This window comes from Homo sapiens, chromosome 20 (assembly GCF_000001405.40).
Source record: "Homo sapiens chromosome 20, GRCh38.p14 Primary Assembly".
In the NCBI taxonomy this organism is placed as follows: domain Eukaryota; kingdom Metazoa; phylum Chordata; class Mammalia; order Primates; family Hominidae; genus Homo; species Homo sapiens.
This window is the reverse complement of record NC_000020.11, coordinates 50882881-50901211: the sequence shown is the minus strand read 5'-3', so window position 1 is coordinate 50901211 and position 18331 is coordinate 50882881. Positions and strand designations below refer to the sequence as shown.

General features: G+C 43.8%; 1 protein-coding gene across 12 annotated transcripts in view; it reads left to right on the top strand.

Moving 5' to 3' along the window:
- The window catches only part of ADNP (activity dependent neuroprotector homeobox), a 42520-nt gene extending 30226 nt beyond the window's left edge, over positions 1-12294 (top strand). For all 12 annotated transcript variants that reach the window (NM_001439001.1, NM_181442.4, NM_001347511.2 and 9 more), the window contains one exon: positions 6700-12294. In NM_001439001.1, the coding sequence (NP_001425930.1) occupies positions 7183-9807 (2625 nt within the window). In that variant the 5' untranslated portion in view covers positions 6700-7182 and the 3' untranslated portion in view covers positions 9808-12294. The remainder of the gene's footprint in view (positions 1-6699) is intronic.

The following is an 18331-nucleotide window of genomic DNA, read 5'->3' as shown; positions in this document are numbered from 1 at the left end:
ATACTAAAGAAGAGTTGAGCTTTGAGGAGAAGCAGAGTATTTCATCATGGTTCAAACCAGTATCTGAAACAAGTAGGTTTCTAGGGAGAAAAGATAATCTCTTACCAAGCATGTCAGTTCACCTGCCTTCATCAAAGGACTGACTGCATAGGTGTTAACAATCATAATTCTGAAAGTTGCTCTTTGATATCAGTATATTCTATAATGTATTATTGGCTTTTAAATACCTCACCCTCCTCACAGTCTGTAGGACATTTTTATTTAACTTCTTGATTTGAATCAAAGCAGCTATTACTTCATTAGCTCTTTTGAAGTGTTCTTGGTTGAGAAGGAACAGCAAGGCTTATAGAAGAAAGCCAACTTTTCAAATCAGTCTTTCTTTTGATCAGCGCTGAATCTGATACTACACTGTACTTTAATCAGAGGAAAAAATGGAGATTTGCCTTTTTTCTATGAAAATTTATCCATAATGAGGAAAGGAATAAAAGATATAGCTTTATCTCTTGTAATTGTCTAATTGCACTAAAACATCGTGGGCCCTGAATTTTACCGCAGTCATTCACCACATAACGACATTTTGGTCAGTGATGAACTACATCTACGACAGTGGTCCCATAAGAATATAATTGAGCTGAAAAACTTGCTACCTTATGACATCATAGCGCAACATATGATTCATGTTTGTAGTGATACTAATGTAAACACACCTGTGCTGCCAGTCATAGAAGTATAGCACATACAGTTATTTACAGCGTATAATACCGTCGTGCATTGCTTAATGATGGGATGCATTCTGAGAAATGCCCTGTTAGGTGATGTCATTGTTGTACAAACATCATAAAGGGTACTTACACAGACCTAGGTGGTATAGCCTCCTATTACCCCTACGCTATATGGTATGGCCTGTTGCTCCTAGGCTACAAACTTGTATGGCATGTTACTATAAGAGAATACTATATACTGAATACTATAAGAGTGATTAACACAATGGTAAGTATTTGTGTTTCTAAACATAGTGAAGCATAGAAAAGGTACAGTAAAAATGCAATATAAAAGAAAAATTGGTACACCTATATTGGGCACTTGCGGGACTGGAAGTTGCTCTGAGTGGTGACTGAATATGAAGGGACATTATTGTACATCACTGTAGACTTTATAAACACACTTAGGCTACATAAAAAGTAAAACTTTAAAATTCTTAACTTCTGAATCTTTTGTAATAACACTTAGCTTAAAACACAAACACGGCAACCTGCCCGGGTCCCCTTCCACACTGCGGAAGCTTTGTCCTTTCACTCTTCATAATGAATCTTGCTACCGCTCCAAAAAAAAAAAAAAAAAAAATTGTACAGCTGTATAAAAATATTTTGTCTTCATATGCTTACAGGCTTTTTCCTAGTCTTAAACTTTTTTTTTTTTTTTAACTTTTTAAACTGTTGTTAAAAACTAAGACACAGACATAATTAGCCTAGGCCTACACAGGGTCAAGATCAATGGTATTACCATTGCCACCTTCACAGCTTGTCTCACTGGAAGGTTTTCAGGAGCAGTAACACGCATGGAGCCATCATTTCCTGTGATGGCAGTGTCGTCTTCTAGATACCTCCTGAAGGATCTGGCTGAGGCTGTTTTAGAGTTAACTTTTTTTTAAAAAATATAGAAGTAAGTGGTACACTCAAATAATGATTAAAAACTCATTACCGGCCGGGCGCTGGGCTCATGCCTATAATCCCAGCACTTTGGGAGGCCGAGGCAGGTGGATCGCCTGAGGTCAGGAGTTCGAGACCAGCCTGGCCAACATGGTGAAACCCCCTCTCTACTAAAAATACGAAAATTCGCCAGGTGTGGTGGCAGATGCCTGTAATCCCAGCTACTGGAGGTTGGAAGTGGGAGCGGGGAAGGCAGGAGAATCGCTTGAACCTGGGAGGTGGAGGTTGCAGTGAGCTGAGATCGTGCCATCGCACTCCAGCCTGGGGGACAAAAGCAAGACTTCATCTCAAAAAAAAAAAAAAAACCTCATTACCAAAATCCTTGCATACTTAAGTCCCACAGTTGGCCCTGGAGAACCTGCATATACCAAAAGCTAGCCCTCTGTATAAGAGGGTTTGAGCATCCCAAGAATACTGTATCTTTGATCTACATTTGTTTGGAAAAAATCCACATATAAGCAGTTCAAACCTATGTTGTTGAAGAGTCAACTGTATAGTAAATACTAGGTGACAGAAATTTTTCAGCCCCGTTATAATCTTGGGGGAACATAGTCCCATATGCAGTCTGTACTAGACAGAAAACATCAGCACATGACTTCCTGATAATGACAGTTAAAAACCGTATTGCCAGTTTATGTATTTACTATATATACTTTTTATTTTAGAGTGTACTCCTACTTTTTAAAACAGCTTTTCATGGTAACTGGTAGCAGCCTCATACAGCTTGTGTTCACTGTGTCTCTTGATTGCATCATTCTTGTGCATGGTTTAATCTCATGGTATTTTGTTCATCATGGCCCCTAAGCATACAAAATCCATAATGTTGCCAGTAAGGGGCCATGTTGAGTGATTGACCTGGAAACAGAAGTGATTAAGGACTACGAAGGTGGAGAATCAGTGATGGTTATTTCTTGCCAGTCAGGCTTGTCCCATTTTACCATAGCTATGATCTTGAAGAACAAGAACAAAGTGACAGAAGCTGTTAAAGCATCTGCTTCATTGAAGGCAATGAGACTAACAAAAATTCAAGAAGGGCCTTTATCAGACACACACAAGCTTCTGATGACCTGGATTGAAGAGCAGACACAGGTGCACACGGTGCTGTGTACCTCTCAGCACCATGATGATCCCAAAGCAAAAAGTGTGTTTGAGGTGTTGAAAGAAAAGGCTGGACCTGGCTGTGATGTTGAATTGACTGCTAGTTCTGGGTGGTGTAAACAATTCAAGAATCGTTATTCATTACATAATGGGAAAGTGGTGAGTTTGTGAGTGCTGATGTAAAGGCAGCGGAAGAATTTTGGGAAACTCTAGATAAGCTGAGTCTGGAGGAAAATCACTTGCCAGAACAAATTTTCAATATGGATGAAACCTTTCTATTCTGGAAACAGATGCCTGAAAGGACTTTGATCCATGAGGTAGACCAAAGCAATGCCAGGCTTCAAGTCTTTTAAGGACTGGATGACAGTCTTGCTTGGGGGCAATGTTGCAGGCCACAAATTGAAACCCTTTGTGATTTGGCATGTTGAGAACCCTAGGGGCTTCAAGCATATCAATACACACACACTTGGCCAGTGCACTGCAGGAGATATAAGAAGTCGTGGGTGACCCTGCTCCTCTTTCAAGATGCCCTCCTGAATAGATATGCCTGCGAAGTGGAGAAGTAGTATTGAGAGAATAACATACCCTTCAAGCTTTTGCTTATTGTCGCTGATAAGCAAATGCCTCCTTTAAGTGGTGTTTTTCATCCCAGTATCAAACACCACCTCTTTGATCCAACTGATGGAGTTACAGCAGCTTTTAAGGCGTACTATCTGAGAAAGGCCTTTGTCCTGTCGTCGCAGCTTAGGGAGACACTGAGAAGATTCTGATACAATTCTGGAAGGATTGCAATATCTGTGACTGCATTAAGAATCTTGCTTGGGCTTGGGTTGATGTCATCAAGGAGTGTATGAATGGCATCTGGAAGAATACACTCAAGAGGTTTGTCCATGACTTAAAAGGATTTGCATAAATCACAAAGTCTGTGATTGAGATGGCAAACAACTTTAACCGGGGTGTGGATGAGGACAACAGGAGCTCCTAGAGGTGATTCCTGAGGAATTGACTGGTGAGGAGCTGTGGGAACTAGAACAAGTTCCCGCATAGGTGAAGAGGAAAGAGAAAAGGAAACTGCAGGAAAAGCAAAAGAAGAACCCTCAAGAAAATTCAGTGAAGGATTTAGCAGTGCAGACCTCAGCAAGCTCCTTAAGTCTGAAAACACGTGGCCGGGCTTGGTGGCTCACGCCTGTAATCCCAGCATTTTGGGAGGCCGAGGCTGGTGGATCATCTGAGGTCAGGAGTTCAAGACCAGCCTGGCCGACATGGTGAAACCCCGTCTCTACTAAAAATACAAAAAAATTAGCCGGGCGTGGTGGTGGGGCGCCTGTAATCCCAGCCACGAGGCTGAGGCAGGAGAATCGCTTGAACCCGGGAAGTGCAGGTTGCAGTGAGCCGAGATTGTGCCATTGCACTCCAGCTTGGGTGACAAGAGCAAAAAAACTGCATCTCAAACAACAACAAAAAAGTTTGAAAACATGGATCTCAATACCAAAAGGTTTTTATTAATAGAGAAGAATATTCATGGTTCATTATCTGCTTACAATCAAATCTATGATGAAAAAAGGAAACAAAGCACCGTGGGCTTATTCTTGGTAAGTGTGAGACCTCCTCAAGAAAAGCCTAAGGCAGGTCCTTCTGCAGTTATCCAGAAGAAGGCATTGTTACCATGGGAGATGGCAGTTCCATGTGTGTTACTGTTCCTGAAGACCCTCCAGTGGGACAAGATGTAAAGGTGGAAGATAGTGATACTGTTGATTCTGACTCTCTGTAGGCCTAGACTAACGTATGCGTTTGTGTCTTAGCTTTTAAGAAAAAAAATGTTTTTAAAGTTTTTGGTTTTTTTTTGAGACGGGGTCTTGCTCTTGTCGCCCAGGCTGGAGTGCAATGGCACGATCTCAGCTCACTGCAACCTCAGTCTCCTGAGTAGCTGGAATTAGAGGCGCCTGCCACCACGTCCGGTTAATTTTTTGTATTTTTAGTAGAGATGAGGTTTCACCATGTTGGCCAGGCTGGTGTCGAACTCCTGTCCTTGTGATCCACCTGCCTTGGCCTCCCAAAGTGCTGGGAAAGTTTTTTTTTAAAACAAATTTTTTTAAGCTTATAGAATAGGCATATGAAGATAGAAAATATTTTTGTACGGCTGTACAATGTGTTTGTTTTGGGGGTTTTTGTTTGTTTCTGAGACGGAGTCTCGCTGTGTTGCCCAGGCTAGAGTGCTGTGCTGTGATCTTGGCTCACTGCAACCTCTGCCTCCTGGATTCAAGTGATTCTCCTGCCTCAGCCTCCCGAGTAGCTGGGATTACAGGTGCCTGCCACCATGTGCAGCTATTTTTTTTATTTTCAGTAAAGGTAGGGTTTCACCATGTTGGTCAGGCTGGTCTCAAGCTCTTGACCTCAGGTGATCCACCCGCCTGGGCCTCCCAAAGTGCTGAGATTACAGGTGTGAGCCACTGTGCCTGGCCAATCTGTTTGTGTTTTAAGCTAAGTATTACTACAAAAGAGTCAAAAAGTTAAAAATTTAAAAGTGTATAAACCACAGCAAGCTGAGGTTATTATTGAAGAAAAAATATTTTTTAGGGCTCGGCACAGCGGCTTGCAATCCCAGCACTTTGGGAAGCCAAAGCGGGAGGATTGCTCGAGCCCAGGAGTTCAAGGCCAGCCTGGGCAACAGAGGGAGACCCTGTCTCTACAAAATTTACCCTAGTGTGGTGGCACACACCTGTAGTCCCCAGGACTGAGGCGGAGGTGGGAGGATCGCATGAGCCCAAGAGGTTGAGGCTGCAGTGAGCCGATTGTGCCACTGCACTCCAGCCTGAGCAACAAAGTGAGACTTTGTCTCAAAATTTTTTTTTTAGTAAAACTTGTGTAGCCTAAGTGTTCATAAAGTCTACAGTAGTGTACAGTAATGTCCCAGGCTTTCATATTGACTCACCCAGAGTAACTTCTAGTCCTGTAAGCTTTGTTCATGGTATCATTTATCTTTTACATTGTATTTTTACTGTACCTTTTCTGTGCTCAGCTATGTTTAAACATACAAATATTTACCATTGTGTTAATCATTGCCTATGGTAATCAGTACAGAAACATGCTGTACAGGTTTGTAGCCTAAGAGCAATAAGCTATGCCATGTAGCCTAGGCGTGTAGTAGGTTCTACCATCTAGGTCTGTGTGAATACACACTTGAGGATTTCACACCATGATACATTTTTCAGAATGCATCCCTGTGGTTTAGCAACACATGACTGTATAGTAAACCTGAAGTCTTTAGTAACTTCCTTCATTTAGGTTATTCTTGTTATTTCTAGCTGCAAAATGTTTATCTTCAAGTCATTTGTCTTTGGTTTAGCTAAAATGTGACTTTTTTTCCCTAAACATTGAGAAAGAACTTAGCATTTTTTTAATTTACACTGACAAAAATATTTGGTTTAAGATAGCTTTTTTTTTGAGTTTCTATTTTATAAAGTTACTATACAAAAGGGGAAAACATACTAAAATCAGTGCTTTTTTTTGAGACAGTTTCGCTCTTGTCGCCCAGGCTGGAGTGCAATGGCCGATCTCGGCTCGTTGCAACCTCCACCTCCCAGCTTCAGGCGATTCTCCTGCCTCACCCTCCTGAAGTAGCTGGGATTACAGGCGCCCACCACCACGCTCAGCTTATTTTTTTGTATTTTTAGTTGAGATGGGGTTTCACCATGTTGGCCAGGCTGCTCTTGAACTCCTGACCTTGGGTGATCCACCCACCTCAGCCTCCCAAAGTGCTGGGATTACAGGCGTGAGCCACCACGCGCGGCCTAAAATCAATGCATTATTAAGAATATCCGGGGGGGATCTGGAATCTGTTAACTGCCTATCTGAAGTGGCATTCTAATTCTAGTTTTTGTGTTTACTTTAGGACTATCGGACAAAACCTTTCTGCTGCAGCGCTTGTCCATTTTCCTCAAAATTCTTCTCTGCCTACAAAAGTCATTTCCGCAATGTCCATAGTGAAGACTTTGAAAATAGGATTCTCCTTAATTGCCCCTACTGTACCTTCAATGCAGACAAAAAGACTTTGGAAACACACATTAAAATATTTCATGCTCCGAACGCCAGCGCACCAAGTAGCAGCCTCAGCACTTTCAAAGATAAAAACAAAAATGATGGCCTTAAACCTAAGCAGGCTGACAGTGTAGAGCAAGCTGTTTATTACTGTAAGAAGTGCACTTACCGAGATCCTCTTTATGAAATAGTTAGGAAGCACATTTACAGGGAACATTTTCAGCATGTGGCAGCACCTTACATAGCAAAGGCAGGAGAAAAATCACTCAATGGGGCAGTCCCCTTAGGCTCGAATGCCCGAGAAGAGAGTAGTATTCACTGCAAGCGATGCCTTTTCATGCCAAAGTCCTATGAAGCTTTGGTACAGCATGTCATCGAAGACCATGAACGTATAGGCTATCAGGTCACTGCCATGATTGGGCACACAAATGTAGTGGTTCCCCGATCCAAACCCTTGATGCTAATTGCTCCCAAACCTCAAGACAAGAAGAGCATGGGACTCCCACCAAGGATCGGTTCCCTTGCTTCTGGAAATGTCCGGTCTTTACCATCACAGCAGATGGTGAATCGACTCTCAATACCAAAGCCTAACTTAAATTCTACAGGAGTCAACATGATGTCCAGTGTTCATCTGCAGCAGAACAACTATGGAGTCAAATCTGTAGGCCAGGGTTACAGTGTTGGTCAGTCAATGAGACTGGGTCTAGGTGGCAACGCACCAGTTTCCATTCCTCAACAATCTCAGTCTGTAAAGCAGTTACTTCCAAGTGGAAACGGAAGGTCTTATGGGCTTGGGTCAGAGCAGAGGTCCCAGGCACCAGCAAGATACTCCCTGCAGTCTGCTAATGCCTCTTCTCTCTCATCGGGCCAGTTAAAGTCTCCTTCCCTCTCTCAGTCACAGGCATCCAGAGTGTTAGGTCAGTCCAGTTCCAAACCTGCTGCAGCTGCCACAGGCCCTCCCCCAGGTAACACTTCCTCAACTCAAAAGTGGAAAATATGTACAATCTGTAATGAGCTTTTTCCTGAAAATGTCTATAGTGTGCACTTCGAAAAAGAACATAAAGCTGAGAAAGTCCCAGCAGTAGCCAACTACATTATGAAAATACACAATTTTACTAGCAAATGCCTCTACTGTAATCGCTATTTACCCACAGATACTCTGCTCAACCATATGTTAATTCATGGTCTGTCTTGTCCATATTGCCGTTCAACTTTCAATGATGTGGAAAAGATGGCCGCACACATGCGGATGGTTCACATTGATGAAGAGATGGGACCTAAAACAGATTCTACTTTGAGTTTTGATTTGACATTGCAGCAGGGTAGTCACACTAACATCCATCTCCTGGTAACTACATACAATCTGAGGGATGCCCCAGCTGAATCTGTTGCTTACCATGCCCAAAATAATCCTCCAGTTCCTCCAAAGCCACAGCCAAAGGTTCAGGAAAAGGCAGATATCCCTGTAAAAAGTTCACCTCAAGCTGCAGTGCCCTATAAAAAAGATGTTGGGAAAACCCTTTGTCCTCTTTGCTTTTCAATCCTAAAAGGACCCATATCTGATGCACTTGCACATCACTTACGAGAGAGGCACCAAGTTATTCAGACGGTTCATCCAGTTGAGAAAAAGCTCACCTACAAATGTATCCATTGCCTTGGTGTGTATACCAGCAACATGACCGCCTCAACTATCACTCTGCATCTAGTTCACTGCAGGGGCGTTGGAAAGACCCAAAATGGCCAGGATAAGACAAATGCACCCTCTCGGCTTAATCAGTCTCCAAGTCTGGCACCTGTGAAGCGCACTTACGAGCAAATGGAATTTCCCTTACTGAAAAAACGAAAGTTAGATGATGATAGTGATTCACCCAGCTTCTTTGAAGAGAAGCCTGAAGAGCCTGTTGTTTTAGCTTTAGACCCCAAGGGTCATGAAGATGATTCCTATGAAGCCAGGAAAAGCTTTCTAACAAAGTATTTCAACAAACAGCCCTATCCCACCAGGAGAGAAATTGAGAAGCTAGCAGCCAGTTTATGGTTATGGAAGAGTGACATCGCTTCCCATTTTAGTAACAAAAGGAAGAAGTGTGTCCGTGATTGTGAAAAGTACAAGCCTGGCGTGTTGCTGGGGTTTAACATGAAAGAATTAAATAAAGTCAAGCATGAGATGGATTTTGATGCTGAGTGGCTATTTGAAAATCATGATGAGAAGGATTCCAGAGTCAATGCTAGTAAGACTGCTGACAAAAAGCTCAACCTTGGGAAGGAAGATGACAGTTCCTCAGACAGTTTTGAAAATTTGGAAGAAGAATCCAATGAAAGTGGTAGCCCTTTTGACCCTGTTTTTGAAGTTGAACCTAAAATCTCTAACGATAACCCAGAGGAACATGTACTGAAGGTAATTCCTGAGGATGCTTCAGAATCTGAGGAGAAGCTAGACCAAAAAGAGGATGGTTCAAAATACGAAACTATTCATTTGACTGAGGAACCAACCAAACTAATGCACAATGCATCTGATAGTGAGGTTGACCAAGACGATGTTGTTGAGTGGAAAGACGGTGCTTCTCCATCTGAGAGTGGGCCTGGATCCCAACAAGTGTCAGACTTTGAGGACAATACCTGCGAAATGAAACCAGGAACCTGGTCTGACGAGTCTTCCCAAAGCGAAGATGCAAGGAGCAGTAAGCCAGCTGCCAAAAAAAAGGCTACCATGCAAGGTGACAGAGAGCAGTTGAAATGGAAGAATAGTTCCTATGGAAAAGTTGAAGGGTTTTGGTCTAAGGACCAGTCACAGTGGAAGAATGCATCTGAGAATGATGAGCGCTTATCTAACCCCCAGATTGAGTGGCAGAATAGCACAATTGACAGTGAGGATGGGGAACAGTTTGACAACATGACTGATGGAGTAGCTGAGCCCATGCATGGCAGCTTAGCCGGAGTTAAACTGAGCAGCCAACAGGCCTAAGTGCCAGGTTCCCTGGCGTTGGTGACATGCTGCAGCCTGGAACTCTGATATCCAGTGTGACTGCAAAGCTGTCTTCTCACTGGTACTGCCTTGTGAGTACTGGTTGGACTGTGGGGCATGTGGCCGCTGCAGTTCCAGTGGTTATTTCTAAGTCTATGACAGGACAGGCTGTTCTTGCTTCAGAACCTTCTCTGACAGACACGGTAACTAAATGTGAAAAACCAATAAGCTGGTGACTCATGAATACACACGAGGAAAAGCAGAGGTTTATTTTATCTGCCTTTTCAACATTTCTTTCCCTCTGTGAAATGATTGGTCAGATGTCTTTGAGAAGTGTTAAACTAATTCACATGGTAGTGTAGGGCCAACATACAAGCTACCAGTCTAATGTGTATAGTAGACTTTGGGAAAAGCGATTTTTTTTCATGTATTCATTCTGAATAGTTGAAATGTATATTTGTACAGTCTTTTAGACCTATTCAAGTGATGCTCATGATCCTGTTACTGTGTGCCCATCATAGATTTCTTTTTTTAGTGTTGCCCTTGCTGTGTAATAAACGCTCTATCTAGTTTACCTAGCAAAAGCTCAAAACTGCGCTAGTATGGACTTTTTGGACAGACTTAGTTTTTGCACATAACCTTGTACAATCTTGCAACAGAGGCCAGCCACGTAAGATATATATCTGGACTCTCTTGTATTATAGGATTTTTCTTGTTCTGAATATCCTTGACATTACAGCTGTCAAAAACAAAAACTGGTATTTCAGATCTGTTTTCTGAAATCTTTTAAGCTAAAATCACATGCAAGAATTGACTTTGCAGCTACTAATTTTGACACCTTTTAGATCTGTATAAAAGTGTGTTGTGTTGAAGCAGCAAACCAATGAGTGCTGCATTTTGGATATTTAGTTTTATCTTTAGTTCAACACCATCATGGTGGATTCATTTATACCATCTAATATATGACACACTGTTGTAGTATGTATAATTTTGTGATCTTTATTTTCCCTTTGTATTCATTTTAAGCATCTAAATAAATTGCTGTATTGTGCTTAATGTAAATATTTGCTTTATTACACATGACAGTCCTGTGTGTCCATTATATCTTTTGCCATTTAATGCCATAACTCTTTCATCAGAGATGGCAGCCACAGTCACAGAGGAAACTTGTGGAAAACCCAAGATCTGTCATCTGCAAATAGAATGCTTTCTCTTGAGGCACCTGGTACAAAATCTGTTTTTCTTTTTTTTTTTTTTTTTTTTTTTTTTTTTTAACTGAAAAACAAACACCCTTGAGTTTTTCAGTTCACCTTTTGTTAAGGAGCAGAGCCTGCATATATATGTAAATGTCTCAATGATAAAAAAAAAAATGTAAACATGGATTGGCATTAATTTGCAAGCAGAATCTTAATAGCCTGATGGGTTTTTTGTTTGTTTTTTCTTCTAGATGAAGTTAAACGTTCGTTTTCACCTTACGATGGGAACAACTGTAGTGCAGGCGGCTCTGCCTCTATTTGCCACTCTTGGCCCTCTTGCTATTAAGGGAAAGGCTTTGAAGAGCACAGCACTGACAGGGCTGTAAAGATGGAAGGAGCTGGTATTTTTACCATGCGTAGATTCCCAAGAGAACTTGTACTAAAAAGCAGAAAGTTACAAGGAAGCAGAATTAGGCCAACATTTCCAGCAATTAAAACAATGATGGGAAACTCCAATCCATGAGGAGGCTGGTCAGTCACCTCAAGGATAGTGGCCTAAAGAAGTCTGAAGTGGCTGATGTCCATAACTTCTGAGTCTGTTTCCAAAAGAAAGACTCTTGTTAATGCTGTTACCAGAGAGTAGAGATTTGACCAGCCTCTCCCTAAAATGTAAGCTTCTCAACAACAGTACAGGAAGAAGTGCAAGAGTAGACTAGAACCTTTAAGGAATTTGGGGCTGGAACGGAGCTATGTTGCATCTGTTGTTATACAGGTAGATTATAAGTTCTACATGCACCAGCCAAAACTTAGGACAGGATGTCCCCAAATTAAGATACTACAGATTACCAAATCAGAAATAACCAGCTGGATTTAGGCCAGCTCACATTTATTTGGAAATTACCCTCCCTGATTAACAGGCTTCTGAGTTGTACGTGGAGGACTAATGAGACTTGTACAAGACACCACGGGGCTTGGGGTCCAGGTCCCAGTTGGATATCGGAACAGACACAGATAAGTGTGTTTCCTCATTAAGGTGGTGAGAGTGTGCCTTTTGGCATTCAGAAAAGGGTTTAGCCACCCTAAGAGTTGGAAATAAAGATTCCCAACTGGAAATGTTGCAGAATCCCTACAAGTGTCTCAATAAAAGCCATTTTAAAAGAATATTGTTGCTACTGTTTGCTTTTCAAATAATCTGGAGATCGTTGGCTATGGCAACGTGCTGCCACCTAATTAGAGAATGCCTGTAAATGTAGGCTGAACACTTCTAACATGAGAAAACCTAAGTATCCTACAGAGGTTTGGTGTGTTTTGTTTTTGTGGGTGTCGGGGGAAGGGGGTGGGGAGGCGTGTTTTTGGCCCTGCAGGTTTTCTCGTGGGAATGAGTTCACTCAGACAAGCTAGGACTGTGGCTTCTTTCCCTGTTCATCACATAGAGCATTTTCTCATCCTATCTTTGGTTCCTTGTCATTGTATAGGGAGAGGAGAATCTTTATCAAACAGCTTCATTCCCTCTTGCAATTCAAGCAGAAAGGGTATCTATGCCTCATATCGCTCTAGAGTTGTATGTCAGTTTGATCCCAATGCCTACTCCTTTGTAACATCCATTTCTGGCATGAACAAAATGAGTGCCAAATTTGAAAACTGCGATGTATTAAAGATGGGAGTTTCCCATCTGAGATGCTTCACGCTAGAAACAAACCTGCTTATTGCCAAATAAGTACTACCATACAGAAGTGTAGTTCCTTTACTACTTAGACCTCAGACTACTAGTACTGAGTCCTCGAGATGAGACTCAAGAATTATCACTAGGTGGTTCGTTTTTTTGTTTGTTTGTTTTTGAGATGGAGTCTTGCTCTGCTGCCCAGGCTGGAGTGCAGTGGCGCCATCTCAGCTCACTGCAACCTCCGCCTCCTGGGTTCAAGCCATTCTCCTGCCTCACCTTCCCAAGTACTGCCGGGACTACAGGCACGTGCCCCCATGCCTGGATAATTTTTTTTTTTTTTTTTTTTGTATTTTTAGTAGAGACAGGGTTTCACCGTGTTAGCCGGAATGGTCTCCATCTCCTGACCTTGTGATCGACCCGCCTCAGCCTTTCAAAGTGCCGGGATTACAGGCGTGAACCACCACGCCCATCCATCTCTACATGGTTCTATGCCACTAACATTTGAGAACCATTTAGCTTGATGGAAATTTTCTTTCCCTAATGAAATTAAGTAGAACATGTTGAACACGTGGATTTTGCAGAGTATCAGGCAGCGTTTTGTTTTGTTTTTCTGCCTGTTGTGACCCTTCCAGCCCCCCTGCTGAGCAATAATTAGGTGCCAGTTGAGGCATGTTTCACCAAAATGTCATGGAGGAACATCTCAAAAGCTTCCAGAAGACTAGAAATGAAGAGGCTGCTCCCACCATTAGGAAATGGCATTCCAACATACCAATTATCAGTGGGTCACCATGAGGTAATCTAGAAGAAAAACATCTTAGCTGATACAAACTTGACAGGTTTGAAAATAAAAGGCATTTCTCCCATCTGCTGCAAAGTTGGCTTGAAAGCTTGACCAAAGCAAGGTCCCCATTTGCTAATTCTTTGCATCCTGCTTCCCACCAACTTGTACCACTTCGGTAACGGACTACTCGCTGTAACTTGAATGTAGTGGAGCTACAGTATAGGGGGGGTTGTGTTTTAAAGTCAGCATATAAGAGTTGCATATAGTCAAAATCACCCCCGAAAGTTCTTGTCATTATTTCAAAGTGTCCAACCAAGAGGAGGGGACGCGGGAAGGAAGGTCCCTAGTCATTTCCAGAACAAATCTTCCACGCTATTTAATGAGTTTGGCTGCATGTGTGTGTTTTCAGCATACAGCGTTAATGGATCTGTGATGCAAACCCCTTCCCCATCCAGGACACCACCTAACCTTAAGGTGTAAGACCATTCGAACCTGAACTGGTTTTTGCAATTAAAAATCCTTATTTTGGCCGGGCGCGGTGGCTGACACCTGTAATCCCAGAACTTTGGGAGGCTGAGGCAGGTGGATCACCTGAGGTCAGGAGTTGGAGACCAGCCTGGCCTACATGGTGAAACCCTGTCTCTACTAAAAATACAAAAATTAGCCGGGCATGGTGGTGGGCGCCTGTAATCCCAGCTACTCAGGAGGCTAAGCCAGGAGAATCACTTGAACCCAGGAGGCGGAGGTTGCAGTGAGCCAAGATCACGCCATTGCACTCCAGCCTGGGTGACGAGTGAAACTCCGTCTTAAAAAAAAAGAAAAAAAATCCTTATTTTATTTATGTACCTTTAATGATGTCTTATTACTATAAGTGAAGCAAAATGGATACTCTAATAAGCAGAGCAGGCACCTTTTAGGAACCATAAAGCAGAAGTAAAAGGGCTTTTCCAATATACTTGATGTGAGTGCTGTACTGGCTGCCATCCTAGACTGCAGTGGGACGTGACAGCTGTGTACATGAAGTAGCCAGTCTAGGAATCAAAAGTAGAGATCCCGCCTTGGAGAGATGGAGGAAGAGACAGTGGCATGACTTAGCCATTGCCACTCCGTCTGCCAGCAAAGCTGGATCAGCATCCCCTGGGGAAGCTCAACTAGAACCCTCTCCCCCAAGGACAGGACTCCGGACAAGGGGCTCCGCTACACCCTACAAGGACAATATTGTTCCTAAAAACACCTGAATCTTAGGCATCGTGAATACACAGCTAACCAACGGGTATTTTCAGAACGGATGTGTAGTTCTGGGACTAATTGTAAAGCACTGGAATCCAAGGTATTTGAGTCCTCAAAACCGTCCAACCCCAATCCTCCGCACTCTCCTCCAAAAACCCCCAAACCTTGTATTGGGAGTAGGAACTCCAGGTTTCAGGTGCTGACATGGAGGTGCAGAGAAGCTAACTTGTCCTGACATCTCAGCTGGCAAAGGGGAAGCTGCTGACTAGGACATGGGATATCTGAGTCCACAGCCACCGGTATTTCCGGCCACACCATGCACCTGGGCCTAGGATAGAGACTGGCCTTGGAAGAAAGTTGGCTGCTGCTATGAATGAAAAGATGTGTGAGCCCCATTCTCACAGTGTTCAGTCCCTGGCTCAGCGTTCCCCAAACTGACTCACACTCCACCACCATTGTCAGTTGTGCCACATCTGCCTCACAACTGCTTTATGTTCTTAGTATGTCTCAACTCCCGCCACCACTTTTTTGGGGGGACAGGGTCTCCTTTGTCACACAGGCTGGAGTGCAGTGGCACGATTACAGCTCTGCAGCCTCAACCTGCTGGGCTCAGGCAATCCTCCTGCCTCAGCCTCCCGACTACTGGGATTACAGGTGTGAGCCACCATGCCTCACCCTCACTCCCCCTTTTAAAGGAAAACGATGTCACCAAAAAGCAAAATCACCATAATTTGCCACAAATTCAGATGACCATAAAAGTGACTATGAAAGTAAATACAAGACAAACATTAGATTTTTGCTACCTGTTATCGCATGCTGAGGCTGCAAGCCTGAGACTTGCGCTATTAAAAAGGAAAATCCGGCCGGGTGTGGTAGCTCATGCCTGTAATGCCAGCACTTTGGGAGGCTGAGGCAGGTGGCTCACCTGAGGTCAAGAGTTCGAGACCAGCCTGACCAACATGGAGAAACCCCCATCTCTACTAAAAATACAAAAAACTTCAGCCGGGCATGGTGACACATGTCTGTAATCCCAGCTACTCAGGAGGCTGAGGCAGGAGAATCGCTTGAACCGGGGAGGCAGAGGTTGTGGTGAGCCAAGATCGTGTCATTGCACTCTAGCCTGGGCAACAAGAGCAAAATTCCGTCTCAAAAAAAAGGAAAATCAGAGCAGGGTCCCAGGTCCATAAGCACCAAAATGAGCCTCAGCCCAGACCCGCCTTATCCCAGGATGACTCTGCTACCTCTAGCATGCCGGATAGTGCTGAGCTAGGGGCTGACAGATGGGCTTCAAGCCCAGCCTGGGCTCTGGCTCCAAGAGCTGCTCAGGGAACTCTGCTTCCTTTAGCAGTGACTACTCACTTTGCTTTGCCCAACCTCAGACCCTTTTATATTAATTAGGACTCTCACTGGCAGGTAACGGGAAATCCAGCTCAGACGGTGCTTAATAAAGGTGACAAGGGGGCAACTGGCTGTGTCTGGGGAGGGCAAGCTGCTCAGGGACATCACCAAGGATTCAGGTTTTCTGTCTCCATCCTGCCACCCACAGGGACACTTCATCCTAGGCAGGCACCCCGGTATTCATAGGGTGCCTTCCACTTACCTAACCTGAGAGGTTTCCCCTTCATTCAGTATTAAGAAAGAATCCTGAATTCTAAGCCAACTGGACCATTCCAGAACATCCGACTAAGCTGATGGGCTTAGTCCAAAGCTACCTGGTCAGTCACTGAGCTAGCATTACCCTGGTTGGCTTAGACTAGTCAGGACCCATCTCTGAAGCTCGGGTGAAAGCAATTCAACCCAAAACCGGAAACCAATTCAAAACCAATTCCATGCTACACTCAGAAGGTGCAGAGCGATGCTGAGGACCCAGCACTTCAAAGGAAGCCTTGTGCCATATGAAAACCAGATAAAAGGTGCAATTGCTCCAACTCAGAAGACGAAGCAAGTTCTGAAAAATCTCTTGACTGGTATTCTTTGGAAGCAAGTGATTCCCAGCCCTGGCTACATACTGAAATCACCTGGGGGGGTTTAAAGACAGGTGATCTAAGTTTCCCCCTCCCCTGCTTGGAGATTCTGATGTAATTGGTTTGAGGTGTGGCCCAGCTGATTCCCAGACGGAACTGGTTTAAAGGGATGCGCAGTGAACGTGGGCTACAAGCTCCAGCCTTCCCTTGAATAGTATGTCTGCTCCAGGCAGTTTCCTTTGAGACCACTTATTCTTTTTCCCCGCCACTCAACAAACACCTGCTAGCAGCCTAAGAAGAACCTGTACACTCAGAGATGCAACCTGCATGTAGAAAACCATTTCAAGAGTGTAGACTTGCCCCAACATCTCCTCGGTTCATCCCGGCAACAAGGAGACCGTGGCCTAAGCTGGAATCCTTACCTTCTGGGTAGAGTCCCCACTGCAGCAGCACCAGGCTTGGGGATGCCAACAGAAGACCCGCTCCTCCAGGTCTCCTCCCTTTCATTCACCTCGGCCTGGCTCCTCCAGATGAAACTCCGCCCATTACGTCTAAAACGGAGCATCTCCGTGGAAGGCCCAGTGAGAAACCCCTCCTGGTTGAAGAGGCTGGCCTCGGGTGCTCATGCCTCACTGGTTTGGTTTTTAAGGGGAACCGTATGTTCATTCTGACCAAATATAATGCTTGTGTCCCCTGCAGTCCTCCCCTTAACTGCTTCTCCAAACCCAGCATCATGAGCAGTCCTTAAAGCACACTCTGCCAGAAGGCCCAGCAAAGACTGCAGAGGCCAGCCTCAGACCTGCTGCCCTCCACTCACTCCTACTGCTGCAAGCCTGAAATGCATCAAGCTGATTATCACCTGTAAGAATTTCCAGGCTTTTGAGCCCATAGCAAGCCCAGGGAACTCAGAGAGGAGATTCTGTGACAGCTGCTTGAAATTAGAACTACTTGCAACTCCTTCCAAAGATGTTTGCACTCTTCACCATAATGCAAAGTGGGATTTAGTGGGATTTTGCTTTAAGATGGAGAGGAAGGTTCCTGGAAACCTGTAGCTGCCTGAGTCAACTAAACATCTCCAAGGAGTTGGTAAACCCTGTAAGCAGACATTGTGGGGTACCTGTCTAGCTTCTAACCTTCCCAAGAACTCCCCTTTTTACCCCAAGAAGGAGAGTTTTTATCATAAGTAGGTGTTGGATTTTGTCAAATGCTTATTTTCTGCATCTATTGAGATGATCATGTGGTTTTTGTCCTTTATTAATATGGTGTGGTACACTGATCTTCAGATGTTAAACCAACCTTGCACTCCTGGAAGAAATCCTGCTTGGTTATGGCGTATAATCCTTTTTTATATGTTGCTGGATTCTGTTTCCTGATATTTTCTTGATTTTGCATTTGTATTCTTGTGGAATATTGGTGTAGCTTTCTTACAATGTCTGACCTGGTATCAGTCACCTCCCAAAGGAGAGCCCTGGACAGCACACACTTCTCTAGTGGGACCCCATGCCTCATCCTCAGGGAGTTTGGAATTGGGGTACAGAGGTGCTAGCTAGACTGCCAATTGCTTGAACTGCAGTGACCATCTAGCTGCCATCCTCCACCACATTAAGCTGAGACCGAGATGCATTTCTTCACACACTCCATATCCTTGGAATAAATTTCCCATTGTCTGAGTCTCTGGTTCTACGGATCT